General features: G+C 38.0%; 1 protein-coding gene, 1 long non-coding RNA gene and 1 pseudogene across 4 annotated transcripts in view; 1 reads left to right on the forward strand and 2 right to left on the reverse strand.

The window, feature by feature from the left end:
• Nucleotides 1–22,682, reverse strand: part of NREP (neuronal regeneration related protein) — a 248,131-nt gene that overhangs the window by 96,724 nt on the left and 128,725 nt on the right. The gene's annotated exons all lie outside the window — the stretch shown is intronic.
• Nucleotides 1,244–19,837, forward strand: LOC105379122 (uncharacterized). 2 transcript variants are annotated; one of them, XR_007058900.1, is made up of 3 exons: nucleotides 1,244–1,352; nucleotides 15,852–15,884; nucleotides 19,786–19,837. It is a non-coding gene; the product is annotated as an uncharacterized LOC105379122 (long non-coding RNA). The 2 variants fall into 2 exon arrangements; XR_948673.2 differs by having other exon boundaries at nucleotides 15,802–15,884; nucleotides 19,786–19,804.
• Nucleotides 20,525–21,041, reverse strand: HMGN1P14 (high mobility group nucleosome binding domain 1 pseudogene 14; annotated as a pseudogene).

Below are 22,682 nucleotides of genomic sequence, written 5' to 3' on the forward strand. Positions count from 1 at the left end.
TCTTGATTACCAAGAACAGAAGACACTAGTTTATTGAAACAGAAAGGATTTTTGGTAGCTCACAAATCTCCTGGAATGCAAGAAAATCAGATGTGGATACTGCGTAGTCAGGAAGGATGTAGGTAGGAAAAATGCTCAGTTCACATCATGAACTACTCTAATAAAACCACTGCAACTGCAGCCCAAAACTTAGCCCTGAGCATGCTTAGGTATAAACACAACTATCTACCATCACAGTGGTTCCAGGAGAACCAGCTTCTAACTCCATGGTGCTTGTCAGGAGGTCTATTCTCTATCCGAGGCCATAGCTTAAAGTTTCTCATTTTAATATTCAGGTCTCCCTCAGGGACATCTGATGGGTGGCACCTAGGTCATATGACTGCACTCTAACTGCAAGGGAGTGTGGAAATATAATCTTTTTGCTCGTTTGGATTTTTTTTTTTTTTTTGAGACAGTCTTGCTCTGTCACCCAAGCTGGAATGCAGTGGCACAGTCTCAGCTCACTGTAACCTCCGCCTACCGTGTTCAAGCGATTCTCCTGCTTCAGTCTCCCAGTGAGAGGTGAAGCCACCTGGGCTTCTGGGTCACGTGGGGACTTGGAGAACTTTTATGTCTAGCTGAAGGATTGTAAATCCACCAATCAGTGCTTTGTGTCTAGCTAAAGGTTCGTAAACGCACCAATCAGCACTCTGTAGAAAACGACCAATCAGCAGTCTGTAAAATGGACCAATCAGCTCTCTGTATAATGGACCAATCAGCAGGATGTGGGTGGGGCCAAATAAGGGAGTAAAAGCAGGCCACGCGTCACCACTGGCAACCACTCAGGTCTCCTTCAGCACTGTGGAAGTTTTGTTGTTTTGCTTTTGGCAATAAATCTGGCTGCTGCTCAGTGTTTGGGTCTGCACTGCATTTATGAGCTGTAACACTGACCATGAAGGTCTGCGGCTTCACTCCTGAAGTCAGCAAGACCACCAATGCACCAGAAGGAAGAAACTCCAGACGCATCTGAACATCTGAAGGAACAAACTCAGGACACACCATCTTTAAGAACTTTAACACCGCAGGGGTCCGTGGCTTCATTCTTGAAGTCAGTGAGACAAAGAACCCACCAGAAGGAAGCAATTCTGCACACACCAGTAGCTGGGATTATAGGCACGTGCCAGCATACCTGGCTAATTTTTGTATTTTCGGTAGAGACGAGTTTTCGCCATGTTGGCCATGCTGGTCTCAAATTCCTGGCCTCAAGTGATCCACCTGTCTTGGCCTCCCAAAGTGCTGGGATTATAGCCCTGAGCCACCACACCTAGCCGGAAGTATAATTTTGAGCTTTTCCCCCATTTTAGTGGAAGAAGGTAAGTTGAAAGAGGGTTGGAATGGGTATGGAATAAGCCCACATGTAATGTACATTACAATAGCCAATTAATATTTGTTGGGTTGCCTTATTACAAATAATATTTTCTTATTTGAGAGTGTATCCTTATGCACTGGGGTAAAATTGGCAAATAGATATTTTCTTAAACACTAATTCTGATTGCTCGTTAATAGTTGGCTAGATATTTTCTTAAACACTAATTTTGATTGCTTGTTAGTAGTCGGCTTTCCCATGTCCAGTGGGAAAAATGTTGAGATTGATCAGTGATGTTTTCCTTATATAGTGAAGGATTATTACTACTCTAAATGTATGTTTGATAAAACTTCACTAGTGGAATAATGGGCACTGCTGCATACCATCAGTGTAAGGGATGCACACGTTTGGTTTGCTTCCTACCTATACTTGTAGTTTAATGTCAAGGAACCAACATGTTACACCAGAAGGGTTGTTTGGGGCTACTAATATTTTCTTAGTTCCACTTCATTAATACTTGTCATGAAGACAAGGATCACTGGCAGAGTCAAAGATTTTTACAAAATGGCTACACAATGCCCAAGTTACTGAGGAACCAGGCTGCTCCTCCAAGGTTATGAGGTCATCCATTTACAGTGCTTTTCCAGAAAATGGTTATGCCAGTTGCCCTTCAGATTGAATAAAACCTGTGTGCTCTAGGCCGGGTGTGGGGGTTCACACCTGCAATTTGGGAGGCTGTGGTGGGTGGATCACTTGAGGTCAGAAATTCGAGACCAGCCTGGCCAACATGGCGAAACCTTGTCTCTACTAAAAAATACAAAAATTAGCTGGGTGTGGTGGTGTGCACCTGTAATCCCAGCTACTCAGGAAGCTGAGGCAGAAGAATTGCTTGAACCTGGAAGTTGGAGGTTGAAGTGAGTCGAGATGATGCCACTGCACTCCAGCCTGGGCCACACGGGATGACTCTGTCTCAAAAAACAAAAGAAAACAAACAAAAAACAACAACAAAAAACCTATGTACTCTCTGGAGATCCAAGACAGTACCAAAGGCACAAGAAGTATGTTTTCCAGAGGTTCCTTCAGAAAACTATTTCAAATAATGCTTCCACAGCACCTTTTGTATTTTTAGGTAACTTGATACAAAATATATATTTCCTTTAGAATTTTTTTTTTTTTAAGACGGAGTTTCGCTCTTGTTTGCCCAGGCTGGAGTGCAATGGCACGATCTCGGCTCACCGCAACCTCCAGCTCCCAGGTTCAAGCGATTCTTCTGCCTCAGCCTCCTGAGTAGCTGGGATTACAGGCATGTGCCATCATGCCCAGCTAATTTTATATTTTTAGTAGAGATGGGGTTTCTCTGTGTTGGTCAGGCTAGTTGCGAACTCTCAACCTCAAGTGATCCACCGCCTCAGCATCCCAAAGTGTTGGGATTACAGGCGTGAGACACCGCGCCCGGCCGGATATTTGTTTTCTAGGCAATAGGTGAAGAGGAACTTTGGAGTTTGGGGTGGGAGTGAGGGAGTATGGAGGGGATGTGCTACTTTGGGACCAAGTAAGAGTATTATAGAAAAAAAAATTGTTGAGTATATGTATAACCTATATGTCTCTTTGGAAAAACCACAAACAAATATTAATTCCCTAAAACAATGTTTACCTGCTGTCCCTTGGATGACTTCAGCTTAATTTCACACTTAAGAGCCTTAAAGATTAGAGCGCTTAATTACAGCAATTACCGTTGATTGCTTTGGAAATAAAAAAAATGACTATGTAATACAAAATCATTAATATTATACTTGGTGGAGTGGTGTTATTATTAATAATAATCTAGATACTTGGGTCCCTATCTGAATTTTTAGCATGATAAAAAAACTTACTGCCTCAAACAATTTGTTGTATCACTAAGATATTATTACATTCAACAAATATTGAATAAATGACTACTGTATGCCAAGGTTTGAAATAGGTAGAGGAGCTATCATAATGAATAAGACAAGTTCTCTCAGGAAGGTCACAGCCTGGTGGACAGCACAGATAATAGGCATTACACAAACACAACATCATAATCAATGTGCATGTGATACTATGGGATCACAGCCTGTAGATTAGAGAGACATTTAGAGGGGGAGACAGCTGAGCTGAAGCTAGTTGTTTTCCAAGCAGAGAAAGACAAGGTCATTCCAGGCAAGGAAATAAGGGCAAACCATCATGAAAGAGCATAGTGTATCTGGAAAAAAAAAAACAAAAACATATAATTCTATGTGGCTAGAACATTGGGTACATGTTGGGAAGACACAGAGATGAGGTTGCAAAGCAAACCGTGTTCAACTTGTGAAGGACATTAAGCGGCATGCTAAGGAGTTGAGACTTTCATTTTGCAGTGAGAGACCAAAAAAGGGTTTTCAAGCAACGTACTGACATAATCAGATTTGTATTTTGTAAATGGAACTCTGGCAGCCACATGGAGGAAGAATTGGCAGGGGGAGGCTGGAGTCAGAGAAACCAGTTAAGACTCTAATTCAGAAGACCAAATGAGAGATGATTATCATAAACATGTTTCTGCAAGATAATCTGACACCCACCGGCCCATAAAGACAATGTAATGTGCCTTGACACTTCTGGCTTCTTCCCAATCTGCACCCACATATACCTAGTTCCCTTTAGGTTTTTGACCTTTGATTCCAGATTATGTCCCTTTACATCTGCTCTTTCTGGCTTCTAAGCTCAATTCCTCCATCAAATTTCTTTCTCTTTCTTGCCTCACAATGGATGCACTCAGAGATCAAATCCCTTGTAAATACCTGGTATCTGACTCTCAGTCTAGACTTTACCTGAACTCAATCTTCTGAGCTGAGGGATAATAGCCCACTCACCCTGCTATTTTTCTGTGTTGGATGACAGGAGATCTAGACATTGACTAGCTACTGAATTTATCCAACCCATTCCTAGCTTTTTAAACTCAATGACTTCACCCACATAGCGTGCCATGGGCTGGAAAAGCTCCCATGGGAAACACAGATGAGGTATTGACTACTATACCAGCTCTTACAGCCCTGGACTGGGTGTACAGTGCTGATGAAAGTGACTCACTCAAGAATGAAAAAATTTCCCAAAAGAATCTAGACAGATTCTTGTAATTAGCACTGCCACTCAGGAAAACTTTCCTAGATCTTAGGTCAAGCTTGTCCAGCCCATGGCCCACAGGCTGCATGTGGCCCAGGATGGCTTTAAATGTGGCCCAACACAACTTTGTCAACTTTCTTAAAATGTTAGGAGTTTTCAGCTGTTTTTTTTGTTGTTGTTGTTGTTCATCAGCTATTGTTAATGTTAGTGTATTTCATGTGTGGCCCAAAAGAATTCTTCTAATGTGGCCCCCTAAAGATCGGACACTCCTGTCTTAGGTTAAAGCCAAGTGAAGTTTAAAAGATCTTACAATGACACAGAAGGAGCTAACACCCTGGGTTAAGATGGATTTCTCAGAAACAAACAAATAAACAAAAGGTGCCACTGGAAGAGTCAATCCTAAATCAGGCAAAGGATACAAACCTCAGAGCCCCAGAGGAAAACATTGTGGCTTTCCTGAGGAATCAAGAGATAGCGAAAGCTGAAATGGGTGTTGTCAGCCATGATGATCTCATCTTCTGATATAAAGAATCAACAGTTTATTTGGCTGAGTCACAAGCCACAACACTCAAACTTGAATGTGAATGCAAAGACATATTTATTGGCACAAAGCCATTCTCCCTCCAGCCTAAGCTGCTTTAAGAGAAGGTGTGATTAGGGGTGTGGCTGAGGTCTCTTTGTCTCTAATGGCTAGATATACCTGTTTGAGTATGCTGAGGAATTTCAGGGAGATGAACTCAAACTTTTATGGTTCTGTTGCATACAGGTGCCCAATTTATCATCCCATCAGTTCCATGAAGGATGGGGACACCATGATTCTACTGATAAGAGTTATACAGAACCCACAGTAATAAAGGAAAGCTAATGTGATTTTATTGGTGGGGCCTTTTGGACTAATTTAATGTACTATTATTGTTACTTCTAAACTTGAAACTACAGCAGAAATTGATGTGTTATTTACTTGTACTTCCCTGTTCCATAAGTGATGGAAGGAATTCTCCTATATGGGAAGAGCAACATGTAGAAAAACGCTAGTTTAAATCAGCCATCTCTCTGGCCCATTCCAAGCAGGGCCCCCAAACCATAATGACCTCTACAAGCTACAAGTCTGTGTAACTGATGATTTTGCCTATTGGAGTCTCTGGCAAAGGGAACCTTTACTGAAAGCTTCCATCTGGAAGCGCATCTGTGGTTTTACACTCATCACTTTACTGACATGGCTACTGGGTACATCCCTTTTGGAAGTACCAATTAGCTTTCTACTGGGCTTACCCTTCTCTTGGTGGCTATCAGTGGTTTCTCTCCTCCACTGACATCCTCACAGTTTCTGGTGTTAATTGCACCAGTTCCATCAGCCAACTCAGGTCATACCATTGGGCCATTGAAACTAGTCTATGGCATGTCTTCAGTTTTTTAGTCGATCTGGAGTCTGAAAATGCATGGCTTTTATTACAAAAGCCACTCAACAATGGGCTGGTTGTCAACATATTTGATGGGCTTTTCGCTCTTCTCATCATCCACAGGCATCCTGTATCAGGGCATGTTGGAACATCCTTCTCAAAAAACAATGCCAAAGGATTTTTGACTCTACCACTCTTTCCTCCCACCGGTTCACCCACTTGTGCAAGACAGTTTGTTCACTGTAGGTGGCTGTCCCCAGAAAGGAATCATCTTCTCTCAGCCTCTTCCTGAGTTATAACTAAAATGAAAGCAGTATGGGTATTATCCAGATCTGTTTTAAAAATTTGAGGTTCTATCCTGATCATTCCTGGACACAACACTTCTTTCTTTCTGTTAATGGCAGCCTCAGGGAAGTCTGGTTGGCACGCCCTCAAGATAGCTGCCAGACAAAAAGGGCCTAGAGAATAAAAACTTATTTCTGGTGCCACTATCTGGCCCTCTTGTGGGGTTGACATCCCCCACAAGATAAAGGTCACTGGGTTGAGTACACTGCTTGCTGAGTGGCCCACGTAGGCCAAGTGTAGGACAAAGGGTCTCTATGAGTGTTATAAGAACGCTTTCTACCTTCTGGATGTATTGGAACCTTCTGGACGAAAGGTCTAAGAGTGAGTAGGAAATGATTTATAACAAAGTGAAGTTACTCTTACGGGAATGGAACATAAAAACTTTGTGGCAGTGGAGGTAGAGCCACAACCCTGGCCTCTGGGGAAGGAAAACCTTAGACCTCAGTAGGTACAGAGGAAAAAAGGACATTAATGAGCTATGTCTTTCAAAACCACCCTGGGGCTGGGTGTGGTGGCTCAACCCTGTAATCCTAGCACTTTGGGAGGCCGAGGCAGGCAGATCACTAGAGCTCATGAGTTAGGGACCAGCCTGGACAATATGGCGAAACCCCACCTTTACAGAAAAACAAACAACAACAACAACAAAACATTAGCTGGGGGTGGCATGAGCCTGTAGTCCCAGCTACTTGTGGGTCTGATGAGGTGGGAGGATTGCTTAAATCTGGGACGAGCTTGCAATGAGCGGACATAGCATCACTGCACTCCTGCCTGGGTGACAGAGTGGTACCCTGTCTCAGAACACAAACAAACAAAAGACCATCCTGGAGGCTTCCTCAGGAAGGAAAATGCAATAGTGTGGCTCTCCCTATAACCATTGCAAGCACTTTAAATAACTTCTGTGTCTGTCATTCTCTACCAGATGGTTCTGACCCCAATACAGTTACTATTTCCCTTAATTTTACTGAGAAATCTTAGAAACAACAGGGGAAGGTCTCAGCTGCTACGCTTTCCAGGCAAAATGCCTGATAGCATCTCTGAATCTCTTTACCACTCCCATTCCCATAGCCAATACGCAGTCATTCCATGGTAGGACAAATGCCACCCAGGTGGTACCTTGAACAAACGGGGCAAGTTGGACTCTTCAGGAAGTTCCTCCAAAATCAAGGATTAGACTCAATCACTCTAAATAAGAGTAGAGCCCTAACCTGGCTTGGAGGCCACATTGGAAGCAGTGTTCATCTGTCCCTGACTAATGTAGCTCCCGCCAGGCAGGCTCCAATGATTACAAATAAGAATTACTTCCCCAGGACTGTACTACTTGTGCAGAAGTCAGAAATGGACTTGCTTCCCTCTTTAAAACACTGTTTTGTACCTTAAAGGTGTTCATAAAAGACCTGAAAATGTTTAAAGAAAAACCACCTATACATCACGTAGCCCTCAGATGACTGTGAAAATCTCTCCAAAATGAGGTTACTTTTAGTTACTCAAGGAAAATCCTCAGAGGGATAACTGACTTGTTATTTGTGTGCACCCTCAGGACAGTTTATCCTACAATGGCAATTATTCCATGAGAAAAGCCAATACAAAATGTTTTTCTGACTTTACCTAAACTGATCAATGATACTACTTTAGCGCCAAAAGGCATTTAGGTCAGTCTCAATTCACTTTCCAGGGTTGTTATGAATGACAGAATCATTCTAGACTTTTCTCCTTGCAGACCGAGGTAAAATCTGTTCATCACTAATAAATCATACTGTATCTGGATTAATGCCTCAGGCCAAGCAATTTAGGGAGAAAACCACTTGATTTTCTACAGTAAATACTGATGGTTTATGGGATTTGTAGAGTTAGTTGGGTTTGATACCCTGGGGACAGGATTGAGGTCAGTACTGCAGGATGGCCTCATCCTATTGTTTGAAGTTCTGATGGTGGTAACCTTAATTAAATGCTATCTAAGACTACTTGAACAGATTTGGTCCCAGCCTCTGTCAGTAAGATTGATCAGCGTGGCTGATGGAGTGGCATACTCATGGGAAAACTCATTAGAAGCCAAGGCAATATAGAAATATGCGGTGGGTATTAGTGGGAGACAATACTCCATAGGTCCCTTTTGTTTCTGCATGTCTTTGAGCAGAGGCACTGAATTCCTTTGTTTCAGACTATAGTTTTGAGATATTTGTTTATGTTTATGCAGCAAACAGTCTTGGAAGATAGAGATGGTGTCTCCCTATAGGGCAAAGGGTAGGCAGTTTTACTCCCTGTTATAAAAGATTCAAATTCCCTAAGCTCAGGCTCCTCTCCTGTAACATCAGCCTACTGAATGCAGATGTCACCTGACTTTTTTTGTGTTGCCCTGTGGGAACTGGAGTAGAAAACTAGAGCAAATGCCAGGAGATTCTAGAGCAAATGCTGGGAGATACTAGCTACTGCTATTGCCATGAGTAATTAAGTATTTAATCCTAACTCAGGAGTCTTATGTCTTCTGTCAGCATCCATGAAGTAAACTTGTAAAATTATAAGTAAGATAAAATTTCACATACTTCACAGTTCTTAACAGCTACCCTATGGCAACTAGGGAGATTCATTATCAAATACCATGGCTCTCTTTAGTTCTGTCATTGATCTCTCTGATGCTTCCAAAAGTAGAACCATACATTTTGTAGTTGAAGCACCAAGATATGAAATAGTTATTTTCAAACTAATAATATTTTAAGTGCCAGAAAAGATCAACATCAGGCCATAGACTAATTAAGAAAATGGCAAATGCAGTAATATTTGGAAACATATCCAAACAAACTATTTTACACTCTCACAATATATTCCAGCTATTGAAGCCATCCCTTCCTCTTTGGGTACTTTTAAAACTTATGCAGATAATTAGCAGAATGTAATTGAAAAAATGTAGGGTGAAATATTATGAAACTTGAGTTGAAGAGCCAGTTTTGCCCATTACTGGCTGTGGAACCTTGGACAGATTACCTCCCACTGCTTTGCATCTCAGATTATTCATCTTTAAGATGTGTATTGGAGTGGGAAAAATGAATTCATTTTGGTAGATAATTTTTCCCCCCAGTTCTTATTTTCAGTGAATAGTAGGAAGAATTTATAGCCAAGTGGGGAATTATGAAGTTTCTTTTCCTCCCTATGTTTGCTTTAGCAGGAGGTTCAGACCAGGAATAAAGATTTTTACAACTGTCTACTTTTCTTTGCACATGTAAGCAAGATCTGTTTTAACCTTCTTTGAATTTGGGTTCACATTCCAAGAAGGCACCTCCTATGAAATGAAATGTAAGAGAGGAACATTCCTTGCACAGAAGGTCTTTTTATTTGCTGCTCTCACCACACACATCCATCTTTCCTGTGGCCAGCATATTACACAAACAGGAAAGTTAGTTGATTTCCTATTCAATACATGACACAACTTTGCCAAGGTCATGCTGCCCTTGCCAGGGCTAGCCACAGAAGGAACACACCCATTCACTTGGACTATCATAGGATTTTTTTTCTGGGCACAGTGCAGTAGCTATAAAATAATTATTAGTCTAATTTGTTCATTCATTTGTCTATTTGAGTAAAGTTTCTAGGACCTACCACAGCCAGCCAATAGGAATAGTAATAGTATTAATAAGACCTTATACCTGCCCACAAGGATCTCGCAATCGCCTGAAGGAGGCATTATCTACCAACAGATAATTATTATACAGCCAGATACAGGCTAAAATTATAAAGGTAGGGGCATGAACAGCTCTTCTATAAAAGGCTTCTCAGGGGAGGAAATCCTTGAGCTAAGATTTAGGGGGTTCATAGGTAAAACTAAGTAGACAAAGAATGAGGATATTCAAGCAAAAGAAAGAGCATATAAAAGCAAGGGAGGTCAACCAAGATAGAAGATCAGATACTTTAATAAGGCTGGAACATAGGTTACTTGTAACCTTAAAGGAAATAAAGATAGGCAGATAGGAACATTCTGGGATAAGTGGTTTGTGGGTTTAAGACTTCAGGCTTTTGAGCCTGTTTATATGCTGAGTAGAAGAAGACAGAGGAGAGGCTGAAGATAGGGGGAAAAAGGTCATTGCTGTATAAAGTTCATAGGGAAATTAGGACAAAATGATTTCTTGACCAGAAGGTGAGTAGAAAGGCTAGTCTGAGACTGAAAATGGGTCCCTTCTTCATCTTAGAAAGATATGCAAAAAGAAAATGGATGCAGATGTAAGAAACTTTAAAAGAGAAGTGAGGAAAGCCAAGAATTCAGGTTCTGGCACTAGGAGGTGAAAAAGAAATAAGGTTCCTGCAATCTGTGTGGTCAGCAATTCATATGCTTAACTCAGTCCTTCCTCCCTTCGTTCATTCATTCAAAAATATTTACTAAGCACAGGAATGTAATGATGAACTAGACACTGATTCTCCTTTCAAAGAGTTTGCAATCTAGTTCAGGTAAAAAGAACATAAACCTTGGTAGGCAATAGGTACTTAATATATGTCTATAGAAAGAATGAATGAATTAAACACTGCCCCTCAAAACAGGCAAAGATGAAGTATTATTAGAATAGAAAGGGAAAGGCATGCTTTTTAGGTCTGTATGGGATCTGAAGAACGAGTAGATCTGAATATACAGAGAGGGGTGTGGGTGAGGAAGGTCACTGTGCAAAAGCAATACATTAGCAAAATTCTGGAGGTGGGGAGAGATAGGACCTAAGTCAGGGAAGAGCAAGTCTCTTCTGAGGAATATGCAACAAAATAAAATTGGCAACATTAACAAAAATCTTTCTTTCAGTTTTCTTTGGCTCTCTACATCAATATTAGTGGTATTTATTGCTTTGGGTGGGAGACAAAACATTTCAAAGAGAAGCCAGCATTAAAGTAGACATGTGACAAATAGGAGAAAGACAGTGCCTTGAATCTCCCAGAGCCCCAGAGAAGGGAGAGAGAGCATTCTAAATTTTCTTATAGCCAGGGAGAGCTGGCAGTGGTTGTGACATGGAAATTCCTATAGGCTGAGACAAGGAGGACTCAGGGTAGTCTGCAAAGACCTGGTAACTGAGGAGGAAAAAGAGTATGTACATTTTTTGTGTATATAACTTCAAAAGGGTGTCCCGTGTTTTAACTTGTGAAATCTGGCAAACCCTACATGAATAAGACACTTCTTTCTGGGTGCTAGGACAACACAAAACACTCTTTCCACCCTAACCTCTAAGTCTGTATCATCTTGGGGAAAATGGGAAAAGAATTGAGAGGAAGAAAGAAGACTTGAATTCACTTGAATTTAATTCCAATTAAGCCTAAGAAAATCCAGAAGGTACTAAGTTTATTTTGATGGGCAAGATTTAGTTTTCTGACATCAGTGGAAATTCACTTATAGAAAAATAAAATTTTTTTTGGCTTCTAAGTTTATGACTGAAATTTAGATACTATTACAGTGAATAAAGTCTGACTCTAAACAGAAGATCCTAGTTTCTAAATACATTTCCTACAATCAAGAACCAGAGCTTCTTAGAGAAATTACTGATTCAAGATCCAGGTAGGGAAGATACAAGGTAAGTCTGGGATGTATTGCTGCTCCAGAAAGCAGAAAGTTTTTCAGGACTGATGAGGTTTGTGAAAAGGACACTGAAACCTTATTTAAGGGGCTCCCACTGTCCAAGTTGTAAAAATCCAAGCTTCAAAAAGAATAATGGTTGAAATTGATTGAAAGATATTGTATATATGAAAAAAATCCATGAGTTGATAATGATATTCAAAAAGAGAAAACAAGAAAAAAGTATTTTGTCATCATTCATGGTAGCTATTAAGTCACTTCCTTACTTTGAAAAGTGGTAATTAAAAGAGATAAGACTTTATCTTACCTTTCTAGTAAGTATTCATAGCAACCAAATAGCCTGAGTTAAACAGGAAAGCCTCATGTTATAGAGGAATAATAATTATGTGCAAAGAGTGACAAGATTGGACATTAGCTATTTTTCAGTGCTTGATGAAATGATTCAGGAAAGAATTATAAATTGCTATTGAAATCATTAGGTGAATTGTTGATGAAAAACCACACATTTCATATGGTGGCAAAGTAGCATAGTCAGATTACCTTCTGGTCACAAAGAGGAAAAACATAATTTTTTCATAGAGGAATCAGAGGGTCGTCACCTCATTCCAGTGGCCAAACCGTAAATAACTGATAGTATCAATATAATACTTTCTACTGTTATGTGAAGTCTATAACACCATCTACAATGCAATTTTGCTAATTAATCTAATTAAACCTTTAGAGTCTATTTTCTAGATTACAGAAAATACAGGGGTTAGATTAGCACTACCCAAAAGAAATATGTGTGCCATATATATATTTTAAATTTTTCTAGTAGCCACATTTAAAAAGTAAAATGAAAAAACAAAATTAATATCAGTAATTAAAACATTTAACCCAATATATCTAAAAGACTATTTCAATATGTGATATAAACTCTATTAATGAGACACTATATTCTTTTTATTTGCAGAATGTCTTCTAAATTTGATGTGGACTTGTGCTTACGCACACCTCAGTTTAGACTAAGTACATTTCAAGTGTTCAAAAGTTAGTGGCTACTACACTGGTCAGCACAGGGCTATAGGGCTACAGGAATAAGCTAAATAATACCGTGATGGTTAGTTTTATGTGTCAACTTGACTAGGCTATAGTACATCCTTATTCAACCAAACACTAATGTAGGTATTGGCTGTGGAGGTATTTTGTAAATATGGTTAACATTTACAAACACTTTAAGAAAAGGAAATTATCCTTGATAATGTGTGGGCCTTATTAAATGAATAGAAAGAATTTAAGATCAAAACTGAGATTTTCTTGAGGAAGAAGAAATTCTGCTTCAAATCTATAGCAGCATCTTCTATCGGAGGGTTTCCTGTCAGCTGGCCTCCCAACAAATTTCAGACTTGCCAGTCCCCACAATTTTATAGATTATTTCCTTGAAATTCATGATGATATATATATATGTGTGTGTGTTTGTATGCATATATAAATTTATAAGACATACATATAATGATATAATCTATATGACCCATATGTTGAATTCATAATGATACGTATATAATCTATAAAAACACATATATAGAAATAGATACATATGTGTAGCTGATGTATACACAGATGAGCTCTAAAGGACATGTTGGAGACAACTGGAAAATTTTGAACATGGATTTAATTAGACAATTAAAGTATTGTCAATTTTGATAAGTGGGATAATTTAATGTTTCAATGGGGGAAAATGTCCGTATTTTTAAAAAATACCTTCTGAAGTATTTCAGAATGGGATGTCATGACGTTTCTAGATTATACTCTATTGATCAAATATACATGAAATCATAACCCTGTAGTACAATGAACAAAACATACTCAGACTTCATCTTCATTGTTACAAACTACATTGTCTCTAGCATAGCAAATCATAGTTATCAAAGTTTTAGCCTAATATTTAATAAAATTTTACTGCAGGATAAATCGGCTTAAAAAATTAAACAAGAACCTAAGGCTATGATGTGGTTGTCTCTCACTAGCTGGGGGAACACAAGGCATTCTGCTTCCAGAGCATGAAGGGCAATGACCAGAGTCATAGGTGGTGATGTGGATGGTTCAATATGTAAGTTTTTCCCATTCGGCCCATGTCTGTACATCACATCCAAGGACAGCATGCCTCAGAATGCTGACTCTGAAATCAGCTATTAAATGGATATTTTGGCTTTCTGTATTGTTTTCTTAAGAGTGCAGTTGTCCTGGTCAGGTTACAGTATGTTCTTACCAAAATTCTCCTGTACAACTAAAATGACGTATTTTTCTTTCCTTTCCTGTCATTAAATTATAATGAAGTGTTGGTGACCTTTCTGTTATGGTTACCGTTATTGCTATGGGGATAGTCCTATACATTCCAAAAGAAGAACAACCACGTTAGTTCAATATATAATATTACTTAAGGCCCTTTGTCAGAAGTAGGAGCAAAAGTTGTTATAATAATATAAAGTCTTAATAAATATTTATGTACCTATAATGATTTTAGTGTTGGATAAATTATATGCACAATGTATTAATCTGCATAGTATTTTTTACAAAGCCCTTTCACATATATTTATCTTATTTGAACCTCATGAGACTCTGTAGAACTGGTAGGTTAGTTACTATTAACTCCATTTTACAGAGTAGGAGTGTGGCAGACACTTGGAAGACACCTGACATCCATTCATCCCATCAACGCATCCAAATTGCTAACAACATCCTGATCGTGTTTCAGAGAGAAATGTGCTTTTCCTCAATTTAGTATTTGTTTTCACAAATCATTGTTTAGTGATTTAAGTATAATGACATAAGTTATTTAGCGATTTAGGTATAATGACGTAAGTATAAATCATTATTATATGCATGTCTCATATAATTTATACACACACACACTCCCACACATATATGTCATAGCTCTGCTGTTAGGGGTATATAACACGGTTCAGGCTCATGACTCAAAAAAAAAGAGATCGGCTAGTATTTCTGAGAAGTCTTTGTATGCTCGGGATTTTTTTGGTGGTGGTTATTTGTTTTGTTTGCTTTCTTAATTAAAAGAACCAACACAGCTGTCTCTCTTCTTCATTCTTTTTCTTGCCTTGTATGTAAATTTAAGGACTACAGCTACCATAGCCATTATGCGACCAGGAAGGAAAGACCAAAAGAATCAGAAATATTGGCTCAGCAGTTTGCTTCTGGACTTTGTTACAGGAGAGAATAAACAAACTCTCATTAGAGACTGTAGTTAAGTTTTCTGTTACCTGCAGTCCAGTGCATTCTCAATTGAGTCTGAGACTGAATGTTTAAGTGACATCCCCAAGGTCATGCAACCTATAAGAGGCACAGGTTAGATTAGCTTAAGTCAGTCACTCTTTAGAAAGCTGTCTCATATCCACTTACTGGTCAACAATATTTTATTAAATACTTATAAACTGCTACTATAAATACTAAGATGAATCAGACACAATCTTTTTCCTTAACTCCACAAGTCAAGGAGATAAACATGTAAGCAAATAGGAATAGTAAAGATGTTGACAGGAAAAACTATGAACCAAACAAAATAGGTCTAGAGGCAAATCCAGTTTATGACCTGTGGTTCAGAAGATATTTGCGCAAGGGTGTGAAAGAGAAAGAGATTTGCCTAATATAAAAGGAGAAGGGTATTTCAGCTTCAAGGAGGAGCAGCAGGAAAGGCATACAGGTGGAACTACAGTTGTTTTGTGTAGATCTGTGTGCTTAAGTTTGTTTCTTCTGAAGGTATAGTCTTAGAAAAGGGATTGCATGCATGCGATTTATTAACATGATCCCAGAGAATAAGTACAGGAGTTTTGGAAGAGTGAAACAAGGATAGGGAAGAACCAATACAAGGGTGCATTATCAAGTAGGGTCCTACTGGGTATCTGGAGCACAATTCTGCTCAGACTCTCTGAAGAACTATATAAAACATGCCTCAGAATTGTGCCCCTGAAAGCTAGAACATGGGAATATTTATCCATCAGCTCCTTTCCTCCACTGGTCAAGGGTTGCCCCATGAATTGTTAACTACTTTGTACTTTCAGGTTTGTACATGTCAAGAAAGTTCTCAACAGCATTCTTTCCATCCTTTCAGGAATGTCCCCGGACAGAAATCAAGAGATAAGAGGTACAGCTGAAGTATTGTTAAGTTATACCTTTAGAAAGCTGGTCTCTATAGCAGTAGCTGGACTAAAAGGTAGACCAATAGGATATAAGGCCAGGCACAAAAGATGGTCTGATACACTGTGATACGGTTGTAGTGGAAGACATAATGTCTACAGATGAGACTAGAAGGGTAGACAGGGACTTAATTTTTTTAAAAAGCCTTAAATTCTGGTGGTAGGGGTGTTCGTAAACCTGGGGTTCCCTCCTCCTTAGGGCACACCCTTGAATTATATGTAGGGGTTTGTTTATATAAGTACGGGCCTGTATTTTTTCTTAGTGGGAGGCCTTAGAGTTTCAGAGGACTCAGTGATTTCGAATAGGTTTAGAGACCCCTCTTCTGGTCAATAAGCAGAGTAGAGATAAGAAAATTTTGGGTTAGAGTTAACATTTCAGCTTTTGCTTACTGCTAATGTTTCATGCTTTTTGAATCTTATAGATTGGAAGGCTAGAGTCCAAGATGCATTTGGTGACAAGCCTCTCTGGTCAGCATTCTGTGATTTACCCTGAGATATCTATGGGCCTACTGGATGGAAAACTCTGGTGTGATTGTATTTTTGTTATGAAACATTGCTGTTGAGTGCTATACTTTCTTGTAGACCTCTATGTATTATCTCATTTCATTCTGACATGATTCCCAACATCTACACTGAGTTTAGAGCCATATCTTTGTATAAGATGTGACTCCTTGATGCACCTACCAACACCTAGACTCTTTACAGTAATTGTTGGCTGGAAAAAGTCTGTGATATCTCCACTCTCCAAACTTCTAGAGCCTCAATTTCAATAATAAATTTGGAGCATGGATATATTTTCCCCTGAAATATGATTTGCTATGCTAGAGACAATGTAGTTTGTAACTACATTCCTTCCAGAGGATTTTCAAGGGTAGCAGAATATTGTGAGTTTAGTTAAGGAGAAACTAGCACCAAGTTCTGTGTGCTTACCATGGGATTTATATAAATATTTTAGAGTTATAACATTCTATTTTAAATTGATAAAGACCTAACTTCTACCACATCCCAGAACTCTACATTTCAACTTCTTCTGCCCCGACATTTTATGTTATTGCTGTCACAATTCACATATTTTATATTGTGCATACATTAACAAATTATTTGTTATTTTTACCATTTTTGCCTTTTAATTTTTATGCTATAAAGGTAATGTGTATACTATCATTACAATATTAGAGTGTTTTAAATTTGACTATATTTTTACATTATATATTTCCATACAGTTCAAGTTGTTAATAGTGCCCTTTCATTTCAACTTGAAGAATTCCCTTTAGCATTTCTTGTTAGGCAAGTTCAATGGTAATGAACTCCCACAACTTTTGCTTTTCTGAGAAAGTCGTTATCTCTCACTCCTTCATTGCTGAAGAACAAGTTTGTTGGGTGAGATATTCCTGATTGAGTTTTCCTCTTTTAGTACTTACGATATATTATTCCACTCTTCCTGGCTAAGAAATCCACGGATAGTTTTTTAGAGGTTCCATTTTGTGCGACAAGTTGCTTTTCTCTCGCTAAAATTCTCTGTCTTTGGCAAAAAAGTTTGATTACAATGTGTCGTGGTGAAGATCTTTTTTATGTTTAATCTATTTTTGATTATTTGGGATCCATGAACCTAGATGTTCATTTCCCACTGCAGATTTGGGAAGTTTCTGTTATTTCTTTAAAATGACTTTCTTCCCCTTTATTTCTCTCTGCTCCTTTTAGGACTTTCATAACACATATATTGGTTTTGTTGATAGTGTCCTAAAAGTCCCATAAGTTTTCTTCACTTTTTAAAATTTTTTGTTCTTTTTGTTCCTCTGGGTTATTTTAAATGTCCTTTCTTCAAGCTTGCTGATTGCTTCCTTCTTCTGCTTGATTAAGTTTACTGTGGAAGTATTTAAGCTCTATATGGAAGTTTTCACTTGGGTCATTGCATTTTTTAGCTCCTGAATTACTGTTGGGTTCTTTTTAATGGTTTGTATTTATTTGTTTAAATTATTTGTTTTCCTGATTTTGTGTAGTTGTCTATATGTGTTCTCTTGTAGCTCACTGAGCTTCATTAAGATGATTATTTTTAATTCTTTTTCAGGCAGTTTGTAGATCTCTGTTTCTTTATGGCCAGTTACCGGGGCTTTATTTTGTTCGTTTGTTGATGTCATTGTCATTCTTGAGCCTTATTATTAGTGATCATTGAGGATTTGTGTTGATGTTTGAGCATTTGAAGAGGTAGGCACCTCCTCCAGTCTTTACAGACTGGCTTTAGCTGGGAAAGCCCTTTACCAGTCAGCCCATTTAGAGATTCTGGAAGTGTTGGAAGGTGGGGTCTACAGGCAACCATGGTGCTGAAGTCCTCAGGCTGGTTGCCCTGGTTTCTGGGTCCACTGAGGCGTATCTGGAATCTGGGTCTGTAGAGATAGGCTTAGAGCCTGGGTTCACAGAGGATAGTCTAAGGCCTGGGCCACTAAACAAAATAAATCTGAACAGCCTAAGTTATTTAGTTAACAAAGATTCTCAGATTTGATTTCCTAAATGTCAACTATATGCTCTTTAACAGAGGGACAAAGGATAGTGGAAGGTTGAAAGTAAAAGGACAAGTATAGGTATAATAGAAAGGTATATCAGGCAAATATGAAAATAAATCTGATGCAGCAATATTAATATTCAGTATACAGATTTACATATAAAATATATGTTTAAAAAGATAGAATAAAAGAGTTATAAAGTGAAAAAAGAATGCTACTGTGGAAATCCAAAATAAGTATAAAATGTGTAAAATTAATTTCCACTGTTTTACTTTTTTAAATATGAATATTTGACATAAAATTCTATATTTAGTTAACATTACTGCTATCCTCCTAAACCTTATTCAGCAGTTTGGACCACCTGACTTTTATTTTCTTTCTCATCTTATGTTAAAGTGTTCAAAATTTTAGTTCCAATTTCCTCTTATAAACTTCAAATTAATAATTATTTTTACAGTTAATGAATATTTATATTTATGCACAATTTAAAGCATTATTTTGCTCATCATTGCTTCTTTATCTCATTTGTTCTATCTGGATAAATTTCTTACATATGGAAAGGTAATATTTAATAGGAAATACAGAGCCAAAGAGTTGTTGGTGATCCCTCTCAGTCTTCATTTATTTCAAGATTTATTTTGCAATCATTCTTGAATATTTAGTTGATATACATTATATATCAACTAATATATATATTATATATATTATATATATATTATATATATATAATAGCTGTTTTCTCTTAGCCATTGAAAAATATATTCTATTGTTGCCTGACTCTTATTGTTACTTTTGAAATTTCTGCTCTCAAATTAACTATGTTTCTGGAGATAAAATACCCCAATAATTCCTAACAAGGGCTATGTGCACTTGTTATATGCAAATTGTGTGAATTGTGCATACTAAATTCTCGAATCTTCACAGCAACCTAGTGATTGATATATTTATCTATTATTATGTATTTTACATGAATATAACTAATAAATATTATATATATAAAGCCTGGGTTCATGTGGGCTGGCCTGCCACTGATGCAGAACTGGTCTCTGGGACTCTGAGGGCCAGCCTAGTGCTGGGGTGGGTCGGGAGCCTGGGGCCACAGAGGTCTGCCTGTTGCCTTCGGACTGCAAGGGCCAGCTTTGAATCATGGTTCAGTAGGGCAGACCTTGTGCTAGGGTCTAAGGTGAATTTACATGCTTACTTCACTCTCCTTCCCCTACTTGGAGGTTATCTGTCTCCATACTGCACTGTGTGGGCTTGGGGTGGAATAACAAACGTAATGTGAAACTGTCCTTTCTACCTCACTCAATGCATCTTTTTTTTTTTTTAATTTCTGTGCCCTACACAGGTGCTATAATCTCTCACCTGGATTCCAGAGCTCTTGTGAAAGTATGTTCGTGCATAAATTGTTCAAATTGATGTTTCTGTGAGGGGATGAGCCCTGGCAACTCCTATTCTGCCATCTTGCTGATATCACTCTCTGAAGGCATATTTGTTACTTTCATAATTGAGATTTAAATGGTTATGTTGAGAATTCACACACAGACATTTCAATTTGTACACAATTATTAACAGACATACCCAAAATGTAAAAAGTCATGCGTTATAAATCTTTTTTGAACAGTTATTCCAGTGACTTTTCAGCTTAAAATCTGGAAGCAAAGTTTCCTTAAGATGATATCAAGTACTAATATATTTAAATGTTGATAAGCTGTTACATAAGTTTCAAAAAAGCACAATTTAATATCATATATACTACACACTCAAATTTTTAATCTTTCACAAAATTACTAGGAAAACAGGACTAACATGACCAAAGGTGTTACAGAGTGCATGTAATTCTGACATGGAAAGCTATGATCAAGGAGCGGTTTTCTTTAGGAAGTAATTCTACCAAAAAAAAAAAAGAAAAGAAAAGAAACCTCATAGGAATAGAAGTAATTTTACATGTTCAAGACATGTTAAGTGCACAACTATGACTCCATATTGCCATTTAGTATGCTTTGTATTACAGGATAAAAAGTACCACCAGCTAGAATATTAAGCTGCTACCCAAGACAGTCAAAGTCTCCCGTAAGTCAATATCCCACGATTTTCTGGTTACACCAAAAAAATAATAATAATAATAAAAAACAGAAAATGATTTTACCTCTTAAAAAATTACACTTAAAAAATGGGAAGAGGTGGGATTTTCCCTTTCCTAAAAATGCTTCTAGAACTACTAAAAAACTTGCATTTACAAAATGGTTGATAAAAATATTCCTCTGGATTTATAAGAAGGGAGACAAGAATCACTGATAAGCCATGATATATAATATTAACTAGACTTGGCTTCTTTCATTTCACTTCATCAGAGGCTGGACTCTCCTCATTTTTAGTTTCTCTGTTTTCTGCAGGTAAATTTTATTTGGTCTCTTGGTTAGTCACTTCCCTTTGCTCCCTTTACCTTTTTGTTTGCTTTTTTTTTTTTTTTTTTTTTTTTTGTCTAAAGGTTTATCCTTTCCTGCTGCCTTTCTTGGCTTCATTTCTACTTTTGCAGGAACAGGCTTAGCTCATTGATCTCTTGGGCTCTTCCTTTACTGCTCTTCCAGTGGAGCTGACCTTCTCTTGAGCATCTTGGTAGCAAGGAGGGCTGCCTGGATACTGCTGGTCCTCCTGAAACTTTATTTCTTTAAAAAATATTCTGTAGCTCACTTTTCAGTAATTCAAATTTACCTTCTCCTTTGAGTTTTCCTAATTAGAGATATTTTACTATGCTCTGCATCTGTCTGGCTTCACAGTTCCATGAGATAATACCAAAATCTATATTTTTCTTGGATTTGCTCCTTGTTTACCAGATTTCTTTCACTAGCTTAACCATGCCTAAGGCACATTTAATAGCTATTTGTACATAATTTAAGAGAATTTGATTAGAAACCAAAATTTGTTTATTTCATTCATGTCCATTTTTCATTCATTCACGTATTGATCAATCTAACGTTTCATTATGCATCTACTAAATGTCATAAAGTCAGTAAAAAAATCTTAGGGGACCAAACACTAATAAAGGCGACGACTGATGCCAGAGACTGCTGGGCTATGAGAAAGACCTAAGCTGCTTCAGTTCCATGAGGCTACTGACACATATTTTAAAATGAAGACATGACACACTTTTTTTTTTTTTTACACACTGTCTTGGTTTGGATTGCTATTACAAAATACCACAGACTGGGTTGTTTAAACAGCAAATGTTTATTTCTGACAGTTCTAGAGACTGGAAGTACAAGATCAAGCTGCCGAACGGTTGGGTTCTATGTGAGGGTCCTCTTCCTGTTATATCCTTTCATGGCCTTTCCTTAGTGCATGCACAGAGAGAAAGATCTTGAGTCTCTTTTTCTTTTTGTAGGGGAATAAATCCTACTATGTGGGCTGTAACCCTCACGGCCCAATCTAACCCTAATTAGTTCCCCAAGGTCTCATTTCCAAATACCATCACATTAGGGGTTAGTGTTTCAACATATGAATTTTGGGAAGACATAAACAGTCCATAGCACATATTACATTTAACAAACTAATGTGATATAAGTATTATCTCCATGCAATCATAGTGGGATTTATAAACTATACTAACTCATAGTGTCCTGCAAAGCAGTATGGTCCAATAATAGACCCAAGTTTAAAGTTATCTGTTAAATGCCATCTGGTCAGCCTGTGTCTATCTGTATATCTGTGTTTGGAGACAAGGTCAAATTTCTAAATTTGATGGCTTCTCTGAATGTGAGACCTGGGCCAAATGGCTCCAGCTGTTTACTAGCAAATTACAATAAATTATATATACAGATACAAGACACACAGTTAACTATATACAAATATAATTCAAAGTTTTTATTCATATCCATAAGCTAGCCAAAACCACTGGTTGTATCAAGTCTGAAGGGAAATGGTACATGTCTTCTTTCTAGTTCTTCTGTTCCAAAATATTCCTGGAGGATCTTTGGTGTAGTTATTTCAACATTGCCAAAGATTCAAGACCACGCAGGACCTAGGAAAGGCTCTTGCCTCAGGTATGCATGACCCTGAGCTTCAGTAAAACTCAACTGGTGGGTCCTGAAGGTTTGGTCCTATCCAAATATCTCCATTGAAGAGAACAGTACAAATACTCTAAGCTAATACATGTCTGATTTATGGTCTTGGGTATCAATTTGGTATTGTGTCCAAATACTGGTGACAAGAAGAATATAATCAAACATTCTTGATTCTTAGTTT

This window comes from Homo sapiens, chromosome 5 (genome assembly GCF_000001405.40).
Source record: "Homo sapiens chromosome 5, GRCh38.p14 Primary Assembly".
Lineage (NCBI taxonomy): Eukaryota > Metazoa > Chordata > Mammalia > Primates > Hominidae > Homo > Homo sapiens.